This window comes from Homo sapiens, chromosome 11 (genome assembly GCF_000001405.40).
Source record: "Homo sapiens chromosome 11, GRCh38.p14 Primary Assembly".
Classification (NCBI taxonomy): domain Eukaryota; kingdom Metazoa; phylum Chordata; class Mammalia; order Primates; family Hominidae; genus Homo; species Homo sapiens.
In genome coordinates this window covers 76,052,302-76,072,066 of record NC_000011.10, presented here as the reverse complement: position 1 = coordinate 76,072,066, position 19,765 = coordinate 76,052,302, and the positions used below count along the sequence as shown (strand labels likewise).

Below are 19,765 nucleotides of genomic sequence, written 5' to 3'. Positions count from 1 at the left end.
GTTCTCTGGATTTAAATACCATCCTTATGTTGATGAGTCCCAAATTTCTATACCCTGTACTGACCTCCAGTCCTGAGATCCAGACTTATATATCCTGTTGTCTACTTGGATTTCTAATAGGTAACTCAAACTTAACATTTGCAAAGAAGATCTTTTGGTTGCCCCACTCCCATCTCCTGGATCTTTCTCCATCTCAATAAATGGCAGTAACATTAAAGGAGTTGCTCATACACAAAACCTAGGAGTCATTCTTGACATTCCTTTTTTTCCCTCATCTCCCACGTTCAGTCCACTAGTTCATGTCCCATAATATATTTCAAATCTGTTCACTTCTCTCCATCTCTACCCCTACCATCCTGATCCAAACCACCATTGCCCCTAATCTGGTCTTCTGAAATAGCCTTCTAACTGGTAACTCTGCTTCAACTCTAGTTCCCTGCAATCCATTAAAGTAGCTAGAATGTGGAGATGGGTGGGTGGGGCCAAAAAAAAGTAGTAGCTAGAATGATCGTTGGGAAAAAACATATCAAATCATGCCACTTTCCTGCTTAAATCTTCCCTCAATGGTTTCCCTTTGTATTTAGAATAATTTAGGAAACTCTGCTGTGGTCTCTGAGGTTTTATGTGCTATGCTCCCTGGGTACCTCTGCCACTCAATTACTACACTCCTGCCACATCAGCCTTCCATCTGTTACCTCAACATAGCTCTTTCCTACCTCAGGGACTTTGCCCTTGCTATTCCCATGACCTTCAGGAACTTTCTGTTCCTTAGCTGGTTGCATGGCTAGTTCCTTGTCATCATTCATATCTAAGCTCAACAGTCACTTCCTCAATAAGGGTTATTTGACAATTTAATCTAAAGTAGGTCCTTTTCCACTTATTTTCTATTATATCACCTAATTAATTTCCATCACAGCACTTATTGCAATCTAAAATGACTTTCTCTGTTTATTGTATGTCTCTTCCCATCAGGTTATAAGCTTAACGAGACAGGGATCTTTCTTTTTCTTTTATTAAAACAGCTTTATTGAGATATGATTCACATAACATACAATTCACCCATTTAAAGTGTACAACTCAAATTTGCCATTTAAACCATGTTTAAGTGTAAAATTCAGTGACATTGATTACATACACAATGATATATAATGGTTGTCACCACCTATTTCCAAAACTTTTTCATCACCCCAACGGAAACTGTAATCATTAAGCAATATAGCTCTCCTATTCCCCCAGCCCTCTAATGTGGCTTTCTGACTCCATGAGTTTGCTTTTTGTAGATACTTATATAAATGGAACGCTACAATATTTGTCCTTTTGTGTCTAGCATATTAACGAGGCAGGGATCAGGGATCTAGTGTATCTTATTCATTGCTCTACCCACTGCAACCTAACTCAGCGTACACAGCACACAGTACATGCTCAACAAATACTGTTGAATAAACTAATGAATTATAAGCAAGTCACCTAACTTTAAAAAAATTTTATATTGTATCAATTTAAGGGGTACAAGATGTTTGAAGGTATACATGATGTTTTGATATACATATACATAGTGAAATGATTATAGCAGTCAAACAAATTAACATATTCATGGGTGTGTGTGATAAAAACTGTAGAAATCTACTCTCTTGACAAATTTTCAGTACACAATACAATATTACTAACTATAATCCTCATTCTGTATATTATATCCCTAGACTTATGCAGCCTATCTAACTGCAAATTTGTATACCCTTTAGCCTGCTTCTTCCTATTTCCTCCTCTCCCTCCCACTGAATCACTATCCTACTCTCTGTTTCTAGTTATTCAACTTTTACATTTAAGATTCTGCATATGACTGAGATCATACAGTCTTTGTCTTTCAGTGTCTGGCTTATTTCACTTAGCATAATATCCTCCAGGTTCATCTGTATTGTCACAAATGGCAGTATGTCCTTTACAGAGGCTGAATAATATTCTATTTGTGTGTGTGTGCGTTGTGTTTGTGTATCACAATTTTTAAAATTCATTAAAGTCACTTAACTTTTCTAGATCTTAGTTTCTTGTGTGATGGTGCTATATCACCATTCATTATTAATTTCTTTAGAACTTACAGTGTTTCTGGCATTGTGCTTGCTAATGGAAAAATTATGATGTGCAAAATAGTTTTTGTCTCCATTCTCAAAAAACGTTTGCTTCCTTTTCTATCTGGGAATGTCGTCTTCTTTGATTTGGTGCACTTTAAGGATGGAAATATATAGAACAGTGAAGTATATAGAAGTAAGGGGATCTCTGCCACACTTATCAAATTATGTGATATGACACTGGAGGGACAAATGTCAAAAGCCAAGCTGTCCTCAAATCGATTTAATAGCATCTGCCCTTTTTACTTTGCAGGGTGATGATAGGGATCATGTGAATTTATATGCATGTACTTTACAAACTATAAGGCTCCCACAAATATAAGATAAAAGTATTATAATTTTTGTTTTCCATTTAATTTTTATGCTCTGAGAATTAAAAGCAAATTTCTGTTCTCTATACAAATTCTAATATAATGTACTTATGAACTAACTGAAATTATGGCAGGATCTGGTTTTTAAAGTCAACGTCAATTATACTGCACCTGAATTTTGACAGGCCCATTCCTATAGCATTACATGCTAGCCAAGAAGGAAGGCTATTTCTAACTGAAGAGGCTGGCACTTAACAAATATTAATATATGGTGCTGAAAACAAGGCATTTTGCTTCACTCACTCTCAGTACTTAATCCAGCACACACACACACCTTTAGACAGCAGTGACATGAAGAGGGCAAGCAGGCCTTACCAGTGCTCTCAGCTCTTCAAACAACACTTGAGGATTTCTACTTGAAGGCCTGTCTCTCTAAGCTTGTGCTTTCAAAACTTGGGCTGGACTGATCCCAAATACTGAAGTAACAAATATTACTAAATTCTGTCATTTCCTCTACCAAAAAAGTGATTTTACTACTACTTCTGGTTGTGATGAAAGGTCCTATTGACTATTCAAATCCTCAACCAAGTTATGGATGCAGTATTAAATGACTTCACTCCTTTTTCTCTGGCACTTTAACACATGCCAATGCTTTCATCCACCTCCACTAATGTGGCTTATAAATTACTGAGGTGAGGCCATTTTAATAGTATGATTTGTTCACATCTTAAAAGATGGGTACATATGGAACTGGCTGAGAAGACAAACTCCCCTTTGACAACATATATTAGTCTATATGTCTATAAAAATAAACCTTCAAAAGCTGGAAATACCTGATTGCTACAATGCTCGCTTAGGAGCCATAACAATTAATGGTTCTTTCATTTGTTACAAATCAAAACGTGAAAAAGTGATGGCAGTAAGGTCAAAGACAAAATGAAAGCTTCCCTGAGAAACAGCGAGAGACAGAACAGACAGAGCTGAAGCAAAAAAAGTGAAAGGTCACAACTGTTCTAAAAGTTTCTAACTGCTTAAAGGGCTTCCCGAATACATTTTGAAATATAAAAAAGCCAGTTTTTAAGAAGTTTACTGTCCCCTCCTTTTAAAACTGCCTCCAGTGTGATTAAAAAAAGAAAATCCACAGAGGAGGATACTTGCTCCCTATGGATTCAGAGTAGTTAACCTATTGATTGTTCTCTCAATTTTCAAAGAGCATATATAAAGCTGGAGAGGATACACAATTACTACAAGCAATCCATTTCTCAGATGAGTAAAACTAGGTCAGCATACTTGTGGCCCTGGTTCAGTTAATAATAAAGTCAGAGGCCTCTTGGGAAGTGGGGATCAAACAGGCCCTAGAGTTGAGAGTCTGATGAGGAGGGCTGACTTTGCTAAGTTTTCCCCTGCACATAGCCTCCATCTTGGTCTTGCTCCCAAAGCAAGCTGTGGTATTCTTAGCAACACTTTATATGATCTTTTGGCATACCATCCTTTTGGGCCCTTGAGAAGAAAGAAGTGTGTTTGTGCATGTGTGTGTATATCTGTACACATGTGCATATTGTGTGTATGTTTGAAGCTGGAATATATGAGGAAATACAGGCATTTCAGCAGGAGTAAGTTTCACCAGGAAGCTTCCAATAGCCTTCTGACCTTAGGATCTAAGTGCCTAGAGCAAGAAAGAGAAAATAGGGCAAGAAGAGAAGTTCTGAACTCAAATCAGAACTTAGTTCTACTAAATGATGCCAGTTTTACTCTCAAACTGGATCCTGTAGTATCTACATGCTCTTTCCACCACGGCTGACATCGCTGGAGGAGCCCTCTAATTTACTTCTTCCTTAGTGCAGTCTTAGTCCGAGCACTTTTTTTTTTTTGAGACAGAATCTTGCTCTGTCACCCAGGCTGGAAGTGCACTGGCACGATCTCAGCTCACTGCAACTTCTGCCTCCCGGGTTCAAGAGGTTCTCATGCCTCAGCCTCTCCAGTAGCTGGGATTACAGGTGCATGCCACCACACCTGGCTAATTTTTGTATTTTTTAGTAGAGATGGGGTTTTGCCATGTTGCCCAGGCTGGTCTCCAACTCCTGGCCACAAGCGATCCACCCATCTCGGCCTCCCAAAGTACCGGGATTACAGGCATGAGCCACCACACCTGGCCTCAGTCTGAGCACTTTTGACAAGTTCTGTTTAAGCACTGCCTTTTCCATGGCATGACAGAACTGTGATCAGCGGAGTGGGAGCTCGGCAGTCTTGGAATTAAAGCCCTGCTTCTTTGAATGAAATACTTGTCTGCCAAAAATGCAGAATGGGCAAGCATCAGTTGTGGGAAGAATGGCACATGGAAAGGTGAGTCATGGGCCAGAGACTGTCAGAGGGCTGCTTTCCTGGAGCTGGAGTGGAAGTAACAGTAAAAGTAGTATGGTTGAGAGGACAATGAGTGTGAAGGATGAAGCAAATGATAAACTGAGGATTGCAATCCAGAAATCTGACCCAATTTCAGAAGAGAACAACAATCTTAATAAAAAACAAATTAAAAAAATCTCCACCATTAAACTGAGGTTGGTTAAGGGGAAGAGTGGCAGATGACACCACATAGAGGAATAATTCTAGACTGATCAGAAATGAATAAGGGAATGTTTAGCAAGTCGTTAGGTTCATGTGGATAAATGGCAACACAGGCCAACAAAAACAAAAGCATCGTAAATCTTATTACTTTGGTAAAACCAAAAGGTCTGAGGATATAGCTCACAATGTATTTAAATAAAAGCCAAATTGTGGATACTCATCCATGTGATATTCCAGTTGGAAGGATGTCCAATGAAAACAAAACAAAACACTTGTTATTTATAAAAATAAATAGGCTGGGTGTTTTAAAGGCTCACACCTGTAATCCCAGCACTTTGGGAGGCTGAGGCAGGCGGATCACGAGGTCAGCAGATCGAGACCATCTGCCTAACACGGTGAAACCCCGTCTCTACTAAAAACACAAAACATTAGCTGAGCGTGGTGGCATGCGCCTGTAATCCCACCTACTTGGGAGGCTGAGGCAAGAGAATCACTTGAACCCGGGAGGTAGAGGTTGCAGTGAGCCGAGATCGCGCCATTGCACTCCAGCCTGGGTGACACAGCAAGACTCCATCTCAAAAACAAAAACAAAAAAAAATAAAAAACAAAGGAAGTTAGTCTTCCTTTATAATTAGAAAACTTGTGGAATGCCTACATCTTGAAGTAGGGCCAGAAGTTCTAAAGAAATGCTACATATTTCTTTCAGGAAAATACAAACCTAGGCATCTGATAGTCTTACTACGGCATACGGAAAGACATTATTTAAGTGGCATACTAACTGATGTGATGTTGAGAGTGCCACAAACATCTAAGACAGACTGGAAGGGTCATGTGCTTGGTCTTTTCCTTCGGGCCCTGAATAATAAAGTGAGGAGACCATGAAGTACTTGCAAAGGCACTGAACTTTTACTCCATAAACAACAATGCAAATTGAGTCCCTAGAAATAGTCTAAGAAAATTACAATTGGTCAAGCTGCAGAGGCAAGAGATGATGAAGCCCACACATCGAAGTATAGTCTACCAGCAAGTAAAAATACAAAAAAAGATTCTGAGTTTAGCAAGTAGCAAGAGGATTCCAATTTGTATTCATTGCTTCTCTGTAGTCATTTTAAGGGCACGGAAAAAGACTGTGATCAAAAAAAAGAACTGTGTATTACTAATGTAACTGGTTAAATGCGAGGGTCAACTGCAGTGCATATTTATAAAGAAAAAAGGCTGGCAATCTAAGGAAACAGGCTGTGCATGGGAAGTAGGAGAGAAGTGAAGAACAGAGACTTACCTGTGCTATATTTTTGTTCAGAAGATAGACACCATAATCAAACTGCAACTTCTCCCCTCCTTTTGGATACAGTGGAAACCTAAGAAAGGTAAAAAAGGATCAGATATTTTCAAAAGCTGAGTAAATACAACCTCCAAGTTGTCAACAGAGGCTGAAGTTTCTTAGATACAGCATAAACATCTGAATTGGACTAAGTCACCTAGCTATAGTCATTGCAATCTACTGACATCTTCATAATATTAATTAAGTCAGAATAACGGCTGCTTTCTTTCAAAAGAAAAAGTGAACAGGTCACAGAACAAGGAACTAATGTTTAAGAAAGTGACCAACCCACCCCAAGGAGTTGAGGCCACTGGTTCCTATTTACATATCATAAACTTGCCACCTTAGCTAAGATTAAGATACCAGAAATTTTTCCCTCTAATATCTTGGACCTGACATCTCAACTTCTACTAAATGGGAGAGGAAGATTAAGAAGGAAAAGAAATCAGACTTAGAAGCAATATATAAGATTTCTGTTTCTTTTAAGGTGACCAGTGAAATCAACAGTGCCAATATGAGCCAAAATTCATTAAAATATTCATTCACATTTACAGGGATGGCTATTTGGATGCAACTTCTCTAAGGCAATGTGCTCATGCCATAAGGCTCTCATACATGAATTTCCATTTTAACCTGCCTCACTGGAGCAACAAAGGCATGAGATCTGGATCTTCATAAAGATAATGAGTTATTTTAGAGAGTAACTCCCCTCACTATTCCCCTTCTTTACACCTGCAAATGAAGAAAAGTTTAGAGCATACCTATAGTCTAGTCATTGTTTTCTGATTCTTAAGATCAAGCAAAAGTTTTAGCATCTGATACAGATTTCTTTACAAACAGATCAATTATTACTTAGGGTCAAGAAGAAAACTTCATCTTCCTTACTTCTGCGATATACAATTATTCTCAAGAATAAAATAATCTTATTGAAATGAATGGCAGGTGACAATTACTAGTCTTAATTTCAATTGTCTTTTAATTGCCTGAGGAAAAGATACATTCCATAAAGCCTAGAGGATATTATTTTCTAGAGAAAATAAAATAAAGGAAATAGAATTTAAGGGCTTTATATTAAATTCTCAGGAGTTGCTGGCTATATAGTATCCAAAGGTAAATTTGTTACACTATAAAATTATAGGCACTGGGGACTGAGCAAGGTCCTGAACTGTATTTATTCTCTACTAAAGGAACACCAAATGCTTCACACACCCATCAAGAAGACAGAGCTTCATATTTAATTGAAACAGTAAAAAATAAACTAGGACATGTGGTTTGGCCTCAAATTGAGATGCATAAAAATGACAGCATAGCAAATTCAGGATAAGCAAAGTGTAACACCAGGCTGTTGCAAGATGTCTGGGAATCATTCAAATTCAGATGGGGTAGCCTGCAAAGAAACGACGTATTTGCAAGTACCCAACAGGGGCACTTTAGAGAAAATCTACTACGGTCCTAAACCTCTGTGCTGTCTAGCTGTTATTCTATAAGCTTCAAATGTAGACTATCTGAACAGCTCTCCAAACCCATAGCTATCTCTATTTTCAAGGTATAAATCTAGAAACTGTTTCGTATGTTAGAAGAGTAAATTGAGATCAGCATACATTGAAAACCAAGCTTCAACATTCCTAAAAAATTGATTTCACAACATTTGACTTTATTATGACTTCAGTGGGACTTATTTATACAAAAAGCCACAAGGTATGGTTCGGATAAGGCAATGCAAAGACAGATCGAATATTAGGACAGAATTTACATTTTATATTGCTTTCAAATTCTTAGGTCACTTGAAGTTGAATAGTATAATAGCTTATAACTATCATGCATTCATCTTACTTTACAAAAGTACATGTATTTATAGATCTATCAATCTTGAAAAATACCCATTTTAAAGGGTAAAACCTATTATCGTCAGAACATAAGATACAAATCTTATATTGGAGAATTACATTAGCAAGCTATAGAAGCTTTAGATAAGAATGTGGTCATTAAAGTACAACCAGAAGCAGGTCCATAACACCACAAAGAGGACTCATTAAAGGAGTATTACATTAAATAACTGGAGGATGAACTATATATTTCCTATGAAGATTCAATACAATTTATTATTATATTCAATTAAAATGGCTAATATTATTTTCAAATTAAATTAAATTTCCACATTGAAAATTCACCGACTCTACTGTCTTCAAATGGCCTTATTTGAACCATACCTTGTAGCTCTTTCTATAAATAGTAGAAAAATCAAGGAATTAGAAAGCAATAAATAGATTACGTGTGTGACAGAATTCCATCTGAGCCTTACTGTCACTCTAACTAACAACAGGTGGTGAAGAGGTTAGTGGGGAGAACTGCAGAAATCCAATCTTAATTATCAGAGCCCACCTTTATCTACTGTAAATACTTGTATCATTGTGAACTATCAAACTGGCTTAGGTCAGTTTGCAACCCTTTCTTTTTCCAGTCTGTCTCAGATTGTAAATTTACACTCACTGTGTGATTACTTGGTTCATGTGTGTCTCCCTTATGATACTGTAGGCTCCAAGAGGGCAGAAATTTTATTTTCTTCCTCTTTGCCTCTCTGTCAAGTCTCTACGCACTGCTACTAGCAGAACGCAATAAATATTTGTTGAATTTTTTTTAAAAAAGATTATTTGTGAAAAATATTTGGAACTCTTTAGTACAGAACAGTTTCAATATGAGTTAAGAATTATGCGATGACTACCAAAAAAGCTAATGCGATCCCAGGCTGCGGTAACAGAAGCAGAGCAGCTCAGCTGGGGAACGTGATAGTGATAACTACTTTGTACTAGGTTAGACTGTACCGAGAGACCTATGTTCAGTTCTGGGAGTGAAAGTATTTTATAAATAGACAGAAGAACACTCATATCCTTACTTAAAGGTTATGTTTCTAGAGAACGTTTATAACAATCTCATTTAACTATATAAAGCATGCAGTGAAACAATGAAGTAGTCAGTATTATTGTTATTTAAAATAAACTGATTTGGCTTGGTCACCTAAGTAGGAAGTGGAAGAGACATGGCTTCAGTATTAGGTCTTCAATAATAAATCCAGTATTCTCTCTACTGCCTCTGAATGCTTTAGAGAAGCAAACCCAGGATGATTAGGGGAACAGAAGTCAGTATTGAGAGAAATTGTTGAAGGAACCAGAGGTGTTTGTCCTGGAGGATAGCAGTCTCAGGGACAACAAATGAAGGACTTTCAGAGAGAAAAAGAATTCGTTTTTTTCTGCATGGCTTCAAGCAGGGAGAACCAAAGTGAATGGTATATGCGTTACAGGAGATTGATTTCACTACAGAGTTATTCAAAATCCTAAAGATCTTGGTTACAGGCAGCCAAGTAGAGAAGGGCGACAAACACAAACAATGCACATGTATTCAGTGGATGTAGCGGGTTACACGGCGGCCTCCAAAAAGATATGTCCATATTCTAATCCTTGGGACCTAAGTTAACTTATTTGATGAAAAGATCTAAAATAGTTAAGGATCTTGAGTTGAGATCATTTTTTATTATTCAGGTGGGCCCTCAATCTAGTAAGTATCGTAATAAGGAAACACAGAGGTGAGACAAAGGGAAAAGAGGTTGTGTGCAGATGGAGGCAGAGCTTAGTTATGCAGCCACAAGCCGGGCAATGCCTGGAGCCACCAGAAGCTGGAAAGGATAAAGAAAGGAGTGTGGCCCTGATGACACTTTGATTTTGGACTTCTGGCCTCCAGAACTGTGTGAGGCAAATTTCTGCTGTTTATCTCATCAAGTTTCTGGTAATTTACAGTAGCTTGAGAGACTAACACAGGAGGAATCAAATACTGGATGATCCACTGGACTCAATGAGGTATAGTATCTCCTCCAACTCCAAGATGTTATAATTCTCAATATGTGAAACTAAACATACTGAATATAATTTTGAGTCCGGAATTGGTGGGTTCTTGGTCTCACTAACTTCAAGAATGAAGCTGCGGACCCTCGCGGTGAGTGTTACAGTTCTTAATGGCGGTGTGTCCGGAGTTTGTTCCTTCTGATGTTCGGATGTGTTGGGAGTTTCTTCCTTCTGGTGGGGTTCGTGGTCTCGCTGGCTCAGGTGTGAAGCTGGGACCTCCGCAGTGAGTGTTACAGCTCTTAAGGTGGCGCGTCTGGAGTTGTTCGTTCCTCCCGGTGGGTTCGTGGTCTCGCTGGCTTCAGGAGTGAAGCTGCAGACCTTCGCGGTGAGTGTTACAGCTCATAAACACAGTGTGGACCCAAAGAGCGAGCAGCAGCAAGATTTATTGCAAAGAACGAAACAACAAAGCTTCCACAGAGTGGAAGGGGACCCCAGCGGGTTGCCACTGCTGGTGCCTGCAGCCTGCATTTATTCTCTTATCTGGCCCCACCCACATCCTGCTGATTGGTTCATTTTACAGAGAGCCGAGTGGTCTGCTTTGACAGGGCGCTGATTGGCGCGTTTACAATCCCTGAGCTAGACACAAAGGTTCTCCACCTCCCCACTAGATGAGCTAGATACAGAGTGTCAACACAAAGGTTCTCCAAGTCCCCACCAGAGTAGCTAGATACAGAGTGTGGACTGGTGCATTCACAAACCCTGAGCTAGACACAGGGTGCTGATTGGTGTGTTTACAAACCTTGAGCTAGATACAGAGTGCCGACTGGTGTATTTACAATCCCTTAGCTAGACATAAAGGTTCTCCAAGTCCCCACCAGACTCAGGAGCCCAGCTGGCTTCACCCAGTAGATCCCGCACCAGGGCCGCAGGTGGAGCTGCCTGCCAGTCCCGCGCCATGCGCCCGCACTCCTCAGCCCTTGGGTGTTCGATGGCACTGGGCGCCATGGAGCAGGGGACAGTGCTCGTCGGGGAGGCTTGGGCCACACAGGATCCCCACGGAGGAGGGGGAGGCTCAGGCATGGCGGGCTGCAGGTCCCAAGCCCTGCCCCACGGGGAGGCAGCTGAGGCCTGGCGAGAAATCGAGTGCAGCGCCGGTGTGCTGGCACTGCTGGGGGACCCAGCACACCCTCGGCAGCCACTGGCCCGGGTGCTAAGCCCCTCACTGCCTGGGGCCAGCAGGGCCGGCCGGCCACTCCGAGTGCGGGGCCGCCAAACCCACGCCCACCCGGAACTCCAGCTGGCCCGCAAGCGCCGTGCTGCAGCCCTGGTTCCCGCTCGCGCCTCTCCCTCCACACCTCCCTGCAAGCTGAAGGAGCCGGCTCCGGCCTTGGCCAGCCCAGAAAGGGGCTCCCACAGTGCAGCGGTGGGCTGAAGGGCTCCTCAAGTGCCGCCAAAGTGGGAGCCCAGGCAGAAGAGGCGCTGAGAGCGAGTGAGGGCTGTCAGCACGCTGTCACCCCTCAATTTCATTTTTTCCTTCAGGAACCAAGAAAGATTTGAGACTCTAATGCCAAAGAGTCATCATGATAGGTAGCAGGTAAGGTTGCAAAGTAGACCGACTGAAATCTGGTAAGTAAAGTACCAAAAAAAGAAATTCCTATGTACAGGCTGAGTCTGAGCAGGATTTTTCTTTTTTACTAATTCACATATATATCATATACACACCTACAGAGACGCAACACATGAAAAATAGATCACACACAACTTGAAAAAAACTGTGAAAAGAAACTGATTTTCAAACTTTAAATATTTATAAAAGATACACTGTTATAAACACTACCCTCTCCCCACCAACCCAGACATTTCTACAAAGGACTCCAAGCTGCTAATAGTTTCTTGCCTTCACCTTCAGAGCCTCACATCCAGATTTAGTTATTTGATGGCAACTGGGGATGAGGACATGGCTATAGTTAATTCAAATTTTTAAATCATACATATTAAGATTACTTCTGCCATTCGTATTTATAGAAAATGTGACAACATGGACTCAATATATTCTGAGGCAATGACTTTACCTCAAACTCGGTATACTTTCTCCTGTCCAGACTAGTTTGCCATTACTACTTTTCTCTATCAATTACTTGGACTTAGAGTGGCATTCAACTTTACCCACCTGATTTGCCTTTTACATATGCAGTGCTTCACCAAGCTGACAAATCATTTCCCCTCTGTAACATTCTCCATTCCTGCTGCCACTCTGGATAATTCTTTGTTGTGGGGTGCTGTCCTATATACTACAGGATGTTTAGAAAGGTCAGCATCTCTATCCTCTACTCACTAAAAGCCAATAGCACTCGACTCCCAGCTGTGATAACCAAAAATGTCTCTAGACATCACCCAATGTTGCCTGGGTGGGTGGGGAAAGGAGTTCAAACTGCCTCCAGTTGAGAATCATTGGTCCAAGCTCTTATCAATTTGCTTACTACCTAGCCAGAATCCTTAATGCCAGTTCATTCTCCATATCACTGTCAGATTGATTTTAGGAAGCCCAGTAGGTTTCTAAAAACTGAATTACAACAGAAAAGACATAGTTTTTCTAGTCTCAGCTCCATTACATACTTAGTTGTTATATGAACTTGGGTAAATCATAACTAGTTTAATGCTAAGTTCTTAAGCTGTAAAGTGGAGAAACTATCATCTTTCCTGCCTTCTTCACAAGTATCTTGTGAGGATACAACACCACAAGATTGAGAAAGTACACTGCAACTGTAAAGCATGACACAAATATAAGTTATTATTTTCTTTTAAGTAAGACCTCTTATCATGTCACTTCTCAGCCCTGCTTCATAATCAGTTATTGTTTTAAATTTCAACTCCTCTGCCTACCTTTCGAGGCCTAAGTGATCTGACCCATCTGCCCAATTTATCTGTCACCTTTTGCTCAAGAGGTTTCCTCACAGTGTCACAAACACATCAAGTTCACTTTTCTTTCTCTGCCTTTACTTACTTCTCGAAGGTGTCCATCTTTCTTGCTTTCCTATCTAAATACTATTCCATCCTTTATGAGATCTAGTTCAAGTTGTCACATTCCTTTTTAAATTGCCCTTGACCACTCCAGGACTCAATGATTCTCCTTTGACCTTCCTGTTGCCCATTTAATGCCTAGAGATTGATTGGTAGTTGTTTCCATATTCATTTATCTCATGCTCTGGTGGTAGTGCATTAATTTTCCCACATTTCATGATTCACATTCACATGTGCATAATTCTTGTTCTTGCTGCCTCATGCTTTATTTGACAGCTATATCACATTTAAAGAAGTGACCAAAATTAAATCAGGGTATCTGCCAAAGACAATAATTTTTTTTTTTTTTTTTTTTGGAGATAGGGTCTTGCTCTGTCTCCCAGGCTGGAGTGCAGTGGCATGATCATGACTCACTGCAGCCTCTGACCTCCCGGGCACAAGGAATACTCCTGCCTCAGTCTCCCAGGTAGCTGGGACTGCAGGTGTGCACTACCACACCTGGCTAACTTTTTGCACGGGAGGATAGAGACAAGGTCTCACTATGTTGCCCGGGCTGGTCTTGAACTCCTGGGCTCAAGCAATCCTCCCACTTCAGCCTCCCAAAGTGTTAAGATTACAGGCATGAGTGACCATGCCCGGACCTAAAACTCATTTTAAAAGACGTTTTTCAATGTTTATTTTCCCAAAGTCCCCCCTACAACAACTATAGTAAATTGTGAGTTAACTCTGGTATGCTTAGGGGTTCAGAAATTGGGATAGATTATAACATGAATACCTACTGGGCTCCTCCTGTGGAATACCAGTCTGTATAACTGGTGGGATGACCTACTATCAGGAGCAACCAGTTCTTGGTTGGCTATGATAAGTGTTAAGGCTACATGCACTTCAAAGAAGCAATTAACAAAACAACAACAACAAAAAAAACCACACGAGCCTCATTCAAGTCCTCCAGGGCGACAATAACAACAACAACAACAAAAACCTGTGAAAAAAATGTTAATGTAAAATGCCAGCAGCATGCAAGCTGCCCCTATTTTTCCCCCATGATCGAGTAAGGGAAGTGACCAAAAGCTATAGACCCATACTAAATTATTATGGCCAAAGTAAAGCACCTGGTAGAGTAAAAAGGACCATGTTTTACCCTGCCAAGACTAAAGAGGGGGAAAAAAAAAAACATCTTGCATTTTTCTGCTACATTGTATAGTGTCACTGAAGTTTTAACTGTTGATGGTAATGCTGTGAAAGCATAAGGCAGGCCATAGGCACGTGAGATGGAAATGGCTGGCTGTGGGGGGTTACACTGGGGACTGAAAATATTTCAGCATCTGTTTCCATGTTAAAAAGTTACATTTATTAACCAGTCCAAAATGTACTCTTTAAAAAATAAGCCATTTTAAAATAATATTTCTGTTTCCATTTATCATTTAATATTTTAACTGTATTCAAATCTATTTTTTAAGTTTCCATTCTTCTTTGGATTAATAACTTTACACTAAGGGCCATTTAACCTTCCCCCATAAGTGATATCTCATTTTAAACATCATAATCAATTTAAAGTAACACAGAAAGTAACAGATATCCATTGGTTCGGGCTAAAGTTATAATCTATGAAAAGCATGATTAACAATGGACATTTTCCCCCTCTTTCCCATAGCCAACTGATCCTAAAAAATCAAATCTGATTGTGGCACCCAGTCTCCTACTTAGAACCATCAAAAGATTTTCCACTGCACTTGAAATAAAATTTAAACCACACAGGGTAGCCCACAGGGCCTTACGTGGCTAAAGCCACTGCTACCTCATGTCATTCTCCTTGGCACTCACTATGCTCAAGTCATGCTGGTTTTCCTTCTGTTCCCTGAACATGCCAAGATTGTTTCCTACTTTGGGACTTTTGAACTTGCTATTCTCTGTTTTTTAAGTGTTTGCTCCTTAAATCTTCCCAGAGCTGACACTTTCCTGTCATTCTAGCCTTTGATCAGAATCACCCTTAGAGAGACCACTGCAGGTCACTCAATCTAAAATCCTTCCTCAGAAAGATTACTGAGGGCAGATTAGACTAAGAGTGGCCAGGGGTACTAATCAATTTTAACATTACACACACAAAAAAGATAACTAGACATAATATGCTTCCAAATGTGATATAAAAGGGAGCATCAGTAACACCTATGAAGTATTCTTGCCAAGAAAACTGAATATGATCAACTAAGTTTTTATCTCCAGTTTATAGGTAACACAGGGGAAAGATAAACATGTTAATACCATCAGCAAAATTCAAAATGTGAGGAACTTTACAGGGATCTGCAGAGTAAGTTTAACTTATACAACAAGGAAAAAAATGCAAGGAAAAATAAAGAAGGAGAGAACCTTCAGATTAAAAGAGACTTAAGATGTGGAGCAACCAGAACTCTTATATATTGTTGAGTGGGAGTATAAAATGTACATTACGCTCTACGGAAAAAGGTCTGGCAGTTACTTATAAAACTAAACATACACTTATCCTATGATGTAGCAATTCTGTTCCTGCGTATTTACCCAAGAAATATGAAAACATTTGCCCACAAAAATACCATGTACAAAAATGTTCACAGCAACTTTACTCACAATAGCCAAAAACTGAAAACCACCTAAGTGTTGAGGATGAAAGAACCTACAATAATATGCCAAGTGAAAGAAGCCTTATGTAAAGAAGTTCATACTGCATGCTTACGGTTAAACAATGGTTAAGCAGGGGACTGGGAAAGACAGTGATTCACTAGAAAAAAGAGAGAGGGAAGTTTCAGGGGAGAGTCAATGATCTGTATCTTGACGTGCTGGACTGCACAGATGCCTATGTATTTGATGGAACTCAGAATAGTTCATTTAAGATTTGTATATTTCTGGCCGGGCACAGTGGCTCACGCCTGTAATCCCAGCACTTTGGGAGGCCGAGGTGGGCAGATCACAAGGTCAGGAGATCGAGACCATCCTGGCTAACACAGTGAAACCCCATCTCTACTAAAAATACAAAAAATTAGCCAGGTGTGGTGGCGGGCACCTGTAGTCCCAGCTACTCAGGAGGCTGAGGCAGGGGAATAGCATGAACCTGGGAGGCGGAGCTTGCAGTGAGCCGAGATCCTGCCACTGGACTCCAGCCTGGGTGACAGAGTGAGACTCCGTCTCAAAAAAAAAAGGTTTGTATATTTCATTACATATAAATTTTACCTCAAAAGAAAAAAGAACCATAAACAAATACTGAGCTCTGGTTAATCATATGCATGATGAAGCATTGAGGGGAAGTCTACTGATATCTGAAACTTACTTTAAGATTCACGGAAATAAATAGGTTGATATAATAGATAAACAGATAGATAAATGGAAAGATACAATAACACAGGTACAGCAAATGTAACCGCAGAATCTAGGTGGTGGGTGTATGGGTGTTCACTACAAGATTCTTTCAACTTTTCTGTATGTTTAGAAATTTTCATAATAAAATCTTGGGATACAACATAAATAAACAAACAAAAGGTTTAGCTAATAGTAAATAATAAGAGAAAAACAGGCTGGTGCGGTGGCTCATGCCTATAATCTCAGCACTTTGGGGGACCAAGGCAGGTGGATCCTTTGAGCCCAGGAGTTTGAGACCAGCTTGGGTAGTATGGCAAAATCCTGTCTCTACTAAAAATACAAAAATTAGCCAGGCATGATGGTGTATGCCTGTAATCCCAGCTACTTGGGAGGCTGAGGTGGGAGGATCACTTGAGCCCAGGAGATGAAGGTTGCAGTGAGCTGAGATCACACCACTGCACTCCAGTCTGAGTGACAGGATTAATCGTAGGCAGCTTCCTATAGGTGGAAAATTTAAAACTAGTTTTGAAGAAAGTAAAGGTCAGAAATTTGAAAGAGAGAAGACGTAAGAGCATTTGAAATTAGAGTAAAAGAACTGATTCAATCAATAAATGATTTACTTACTTTATACCAAAGACTCTAATGAGCACTGGACAAATAAAGCAAATACTATTCTTCATTCACTTGTTTAGCAATAGTTACTGCATCATCACCTTGTGATAGGCACTCTTCTAGGTGCTAACACAGTGAACAAAATGACAAAAAAAGTTCCTGTCTTCATGAAGCTTACACTTCAGTGAGAGAGACATGACAAATAAGAGGAGGTTCACTGAGAAGATTACATTTGAACAAAAACCTGAAGGAAGTGAGAGAAAGTCTTGAAGCTATCTGGGGAAGAGTGTTCCAGGCAGGTGAAACGAAAAGTGCAAAGGCCTTGAGACAGGAATGCCTGGTATAGTCACATTCAAGGAAGTGAAGGCAGACCAGAGTGCCTGGAGCAGAGTAAGGGAAAAAGGACCAGGAGATGAGGTCAGCAAAGGAATCGGTTTACATCATGCAGGGTCCTGGAGGTCACAGCAAGGACTTCAGTTTTTACTCTGAATGACAGGAGAAGCACTGGAGGGTTTAATGGCTGCTCTGTGAGGATAAACTGCAGGGGAGCAAGAAAAGAAACAAGGGGAGGCTACTGCAAAAATTTAGGCAAGAGAAGACAGCGGTTTGAACCAAGATGGTGGCTGTGGAGGTGGTGAGAAGTGGTTGGATTCTCTCATTTTGAAGACAGAGCCAACATGATCTGGTGACAGATCTTCTATGAGGTGTGAGAGGAAGAGGAGTCAAGGATGACTTCAAAGTTTTGGACCTAAGCAACTGACAGAATGGAATTGCCATCTTTTTATAAAATTACGGGTGAAATTAAACAGCTAGGAGCTAGGGTTAAAAAAAGAGTGTGAGGGGTGAAGTGCCGTAAGATTAGGCTGCTAAGATCAGCAGGTACCAGACTATGCAAGGGTTTATAAACCACAAGAAAACCAAACCTATACTGTATCCTTAAGGAAAATGAGAGGATAATAACTTTTTTTTTTTTTTTTTTGAGATGGAGTCTTGCTCTGTCACCAGGCTGGAGTGCAGTGGCGCAATCTCGGCTCACTGCAACCTCCGCTTCCCAGGTTCAAATGATTCCCCTGCCTCAGCCTCCCGAGTAGCAGGGATTACAGGCGCATGCCACCATGTGTGGCTAATTTTTTGTATTTTAGTAGAAACGGGGTTTCACCATGTTGGCCAGGCTGGTCTCGATCTCCTGACCTCATGATCCGCCTGCTTTGGCCTCCCAAAGTTCTGGGATTACAGGTGTGAGCCACCGTGCCCAGCTGGGAGGATAATAACTTTTTAAAGCATGGGTGTTTATGTTTTTTAAAGACCAGACTGGCTACAGTGTGGTAAATAAAGGTGAACAGGACCTGGATAGGAGGTTATTGCAAAATCCAGGCCAGAAATAACAGTTTTGGTTAGGGTTCCAGAAGTAGAGAGGAAGATATGTGAATAGATATGTGGGAAGAACTGAAAGAATTTTGTGATGGATTGATTGTTACAAAATGGTAAAGAGGGGAGGAGTCAAAGATGACCCTTTCGTTTCTCAATTGAGAAACGAGGCAGATGGCGGTATCTGTGAATTGTGATGGGAAACACGGGAGAAGGAGCAGGTGCATATTTATTTTTGTGTGTGTGTGTGTGTGTGTGTGTGTGTGTGTGTTTTGAGACAGAGTCTCACTCTGTTGCCCAGGCTGGAGTGCAGTGGTATGATCTGGGCTCACTGCAACCTCTGCCTCCTGGGTTGGGGCAATTCTCCTGCCTCAGCCTCCTGAGTAGCTGGGATTACAGGTGTACACCACCATACCCAGCTAATTTTTGTATTTTTAGTAGAGATGGGGTTTCGCCATGTTGGCCAGGCTGGTCTTGAACTCCTGACCTTCGGTGATTCACCCACTTTGGCCTCCCAAAGTGCTGGGATTACAGGCGTGAGCCACAGTGCCTGGCTATATATTTATTATATATAAATATAATACACTTATAAACTATATATATTTATACCTATATACTCTATAGTATATAGATACTCTATAATATAAACAAAGTATATTTATTATATATAAATGAAATGAGGTGACAAAATTTGGGCCGAAAATATCGAATAGGGAATTATAAACATTTTAGATGGAAACCAAAGCCATAGGTATGAATGAGATGGCCTAAAGAAATGGTATACAAGAGAACCACTTCAGAGCCTTGAGAATATGAACGAAGGATGGGGAGAAGGAGCCAGAAAAGGACTGGTTAAAAGATATGAGGAAAACCAAGAAGTATCTCACCAGAAAAGCTCAGACAAACTGCTAATGTAAGAAGGACGCTATCAACAGTTAAGTGCTGCAGACAGGTCAAGCGAATCTCAAAATTAAACGTCTACTGGATTGACTCTGTGGGTTCACTGGTAGGTAGCGCTGATAATATGGTAAATGAAAGTTTAACTGAAGTAGCAGGGGATGAAGGCCGACTGGTATGAGTTCAGCAGTGGCTAGAGGTAAGGAAATGAAGCTGGTGGGAAGCCTGGCATAGAGAGAGGGGAGCTCAGCAGCTGCAGGGATGTGGTGAGGCACAGCAGGAAACATGTCCTGAGGTGAAAGAGGATAGCTTCCTTACCACACAGGTGAGAGTACAGAAGGGTCTGCCTTAGACAGCAGGTGAGACAAGGGCAACTCTTTC

The 19,765-nt window shown here is 40.5% G+C and overlaps 1 protein-coding gene across 10 annotated transcripts in view, besides 1 other annotated feature; it reads right to left on the bottom strand.

Annotated features, from left to right (window-relative positions):
* The window catches only part of UVRAG (UV radiation resistance associated), a 329,023-nt gene that overhangs the window by 72,166 nt on the left and 237,092 nt on the right, over nt 1–19,765 (bottom strand). For 8 of the 10 annotated variants that reach the window (NR_170160.1, NR_170161.1, NM_001386671.1 and 5 more), the window contains one exon: nt 6,279–6,357. Coding sequence is in view for 8 of the 10 variants with exons in the window: in NM_001386671.1 (NP_001373600.1) it covers nt 6,279–6,357 (79 nt within the window). In the remaining 2 variants the exon portion in view is untranslated. Of the gene's footprint in view, nt 1–1,002; nt 5,574–5,883; nt 6,127–6,278; nt 6,358–19,765 lie in introns of those variants that run through there. The other 2 variants (XM_047427521.1, NM_001386674.1) reach the window with 2 other exon arrangements.
* Nucleotides 13,566–13,751: a silencer, noted in NCBI's record as "fragment chr11:75769360-75769545 (GRCh37/hg19 assembly coordinates)". NCBI's record gives its function as "represses an EF-1alpha promoter that drives an FKBP-Casp9 reporter gene in an ReSE screen in K562 erythroleukemia cells {active_cell/tissue: K562}" and the evidence as "EXISTENCE:reporter gene assay evidence [ECO:0000049][PMID:32094911]".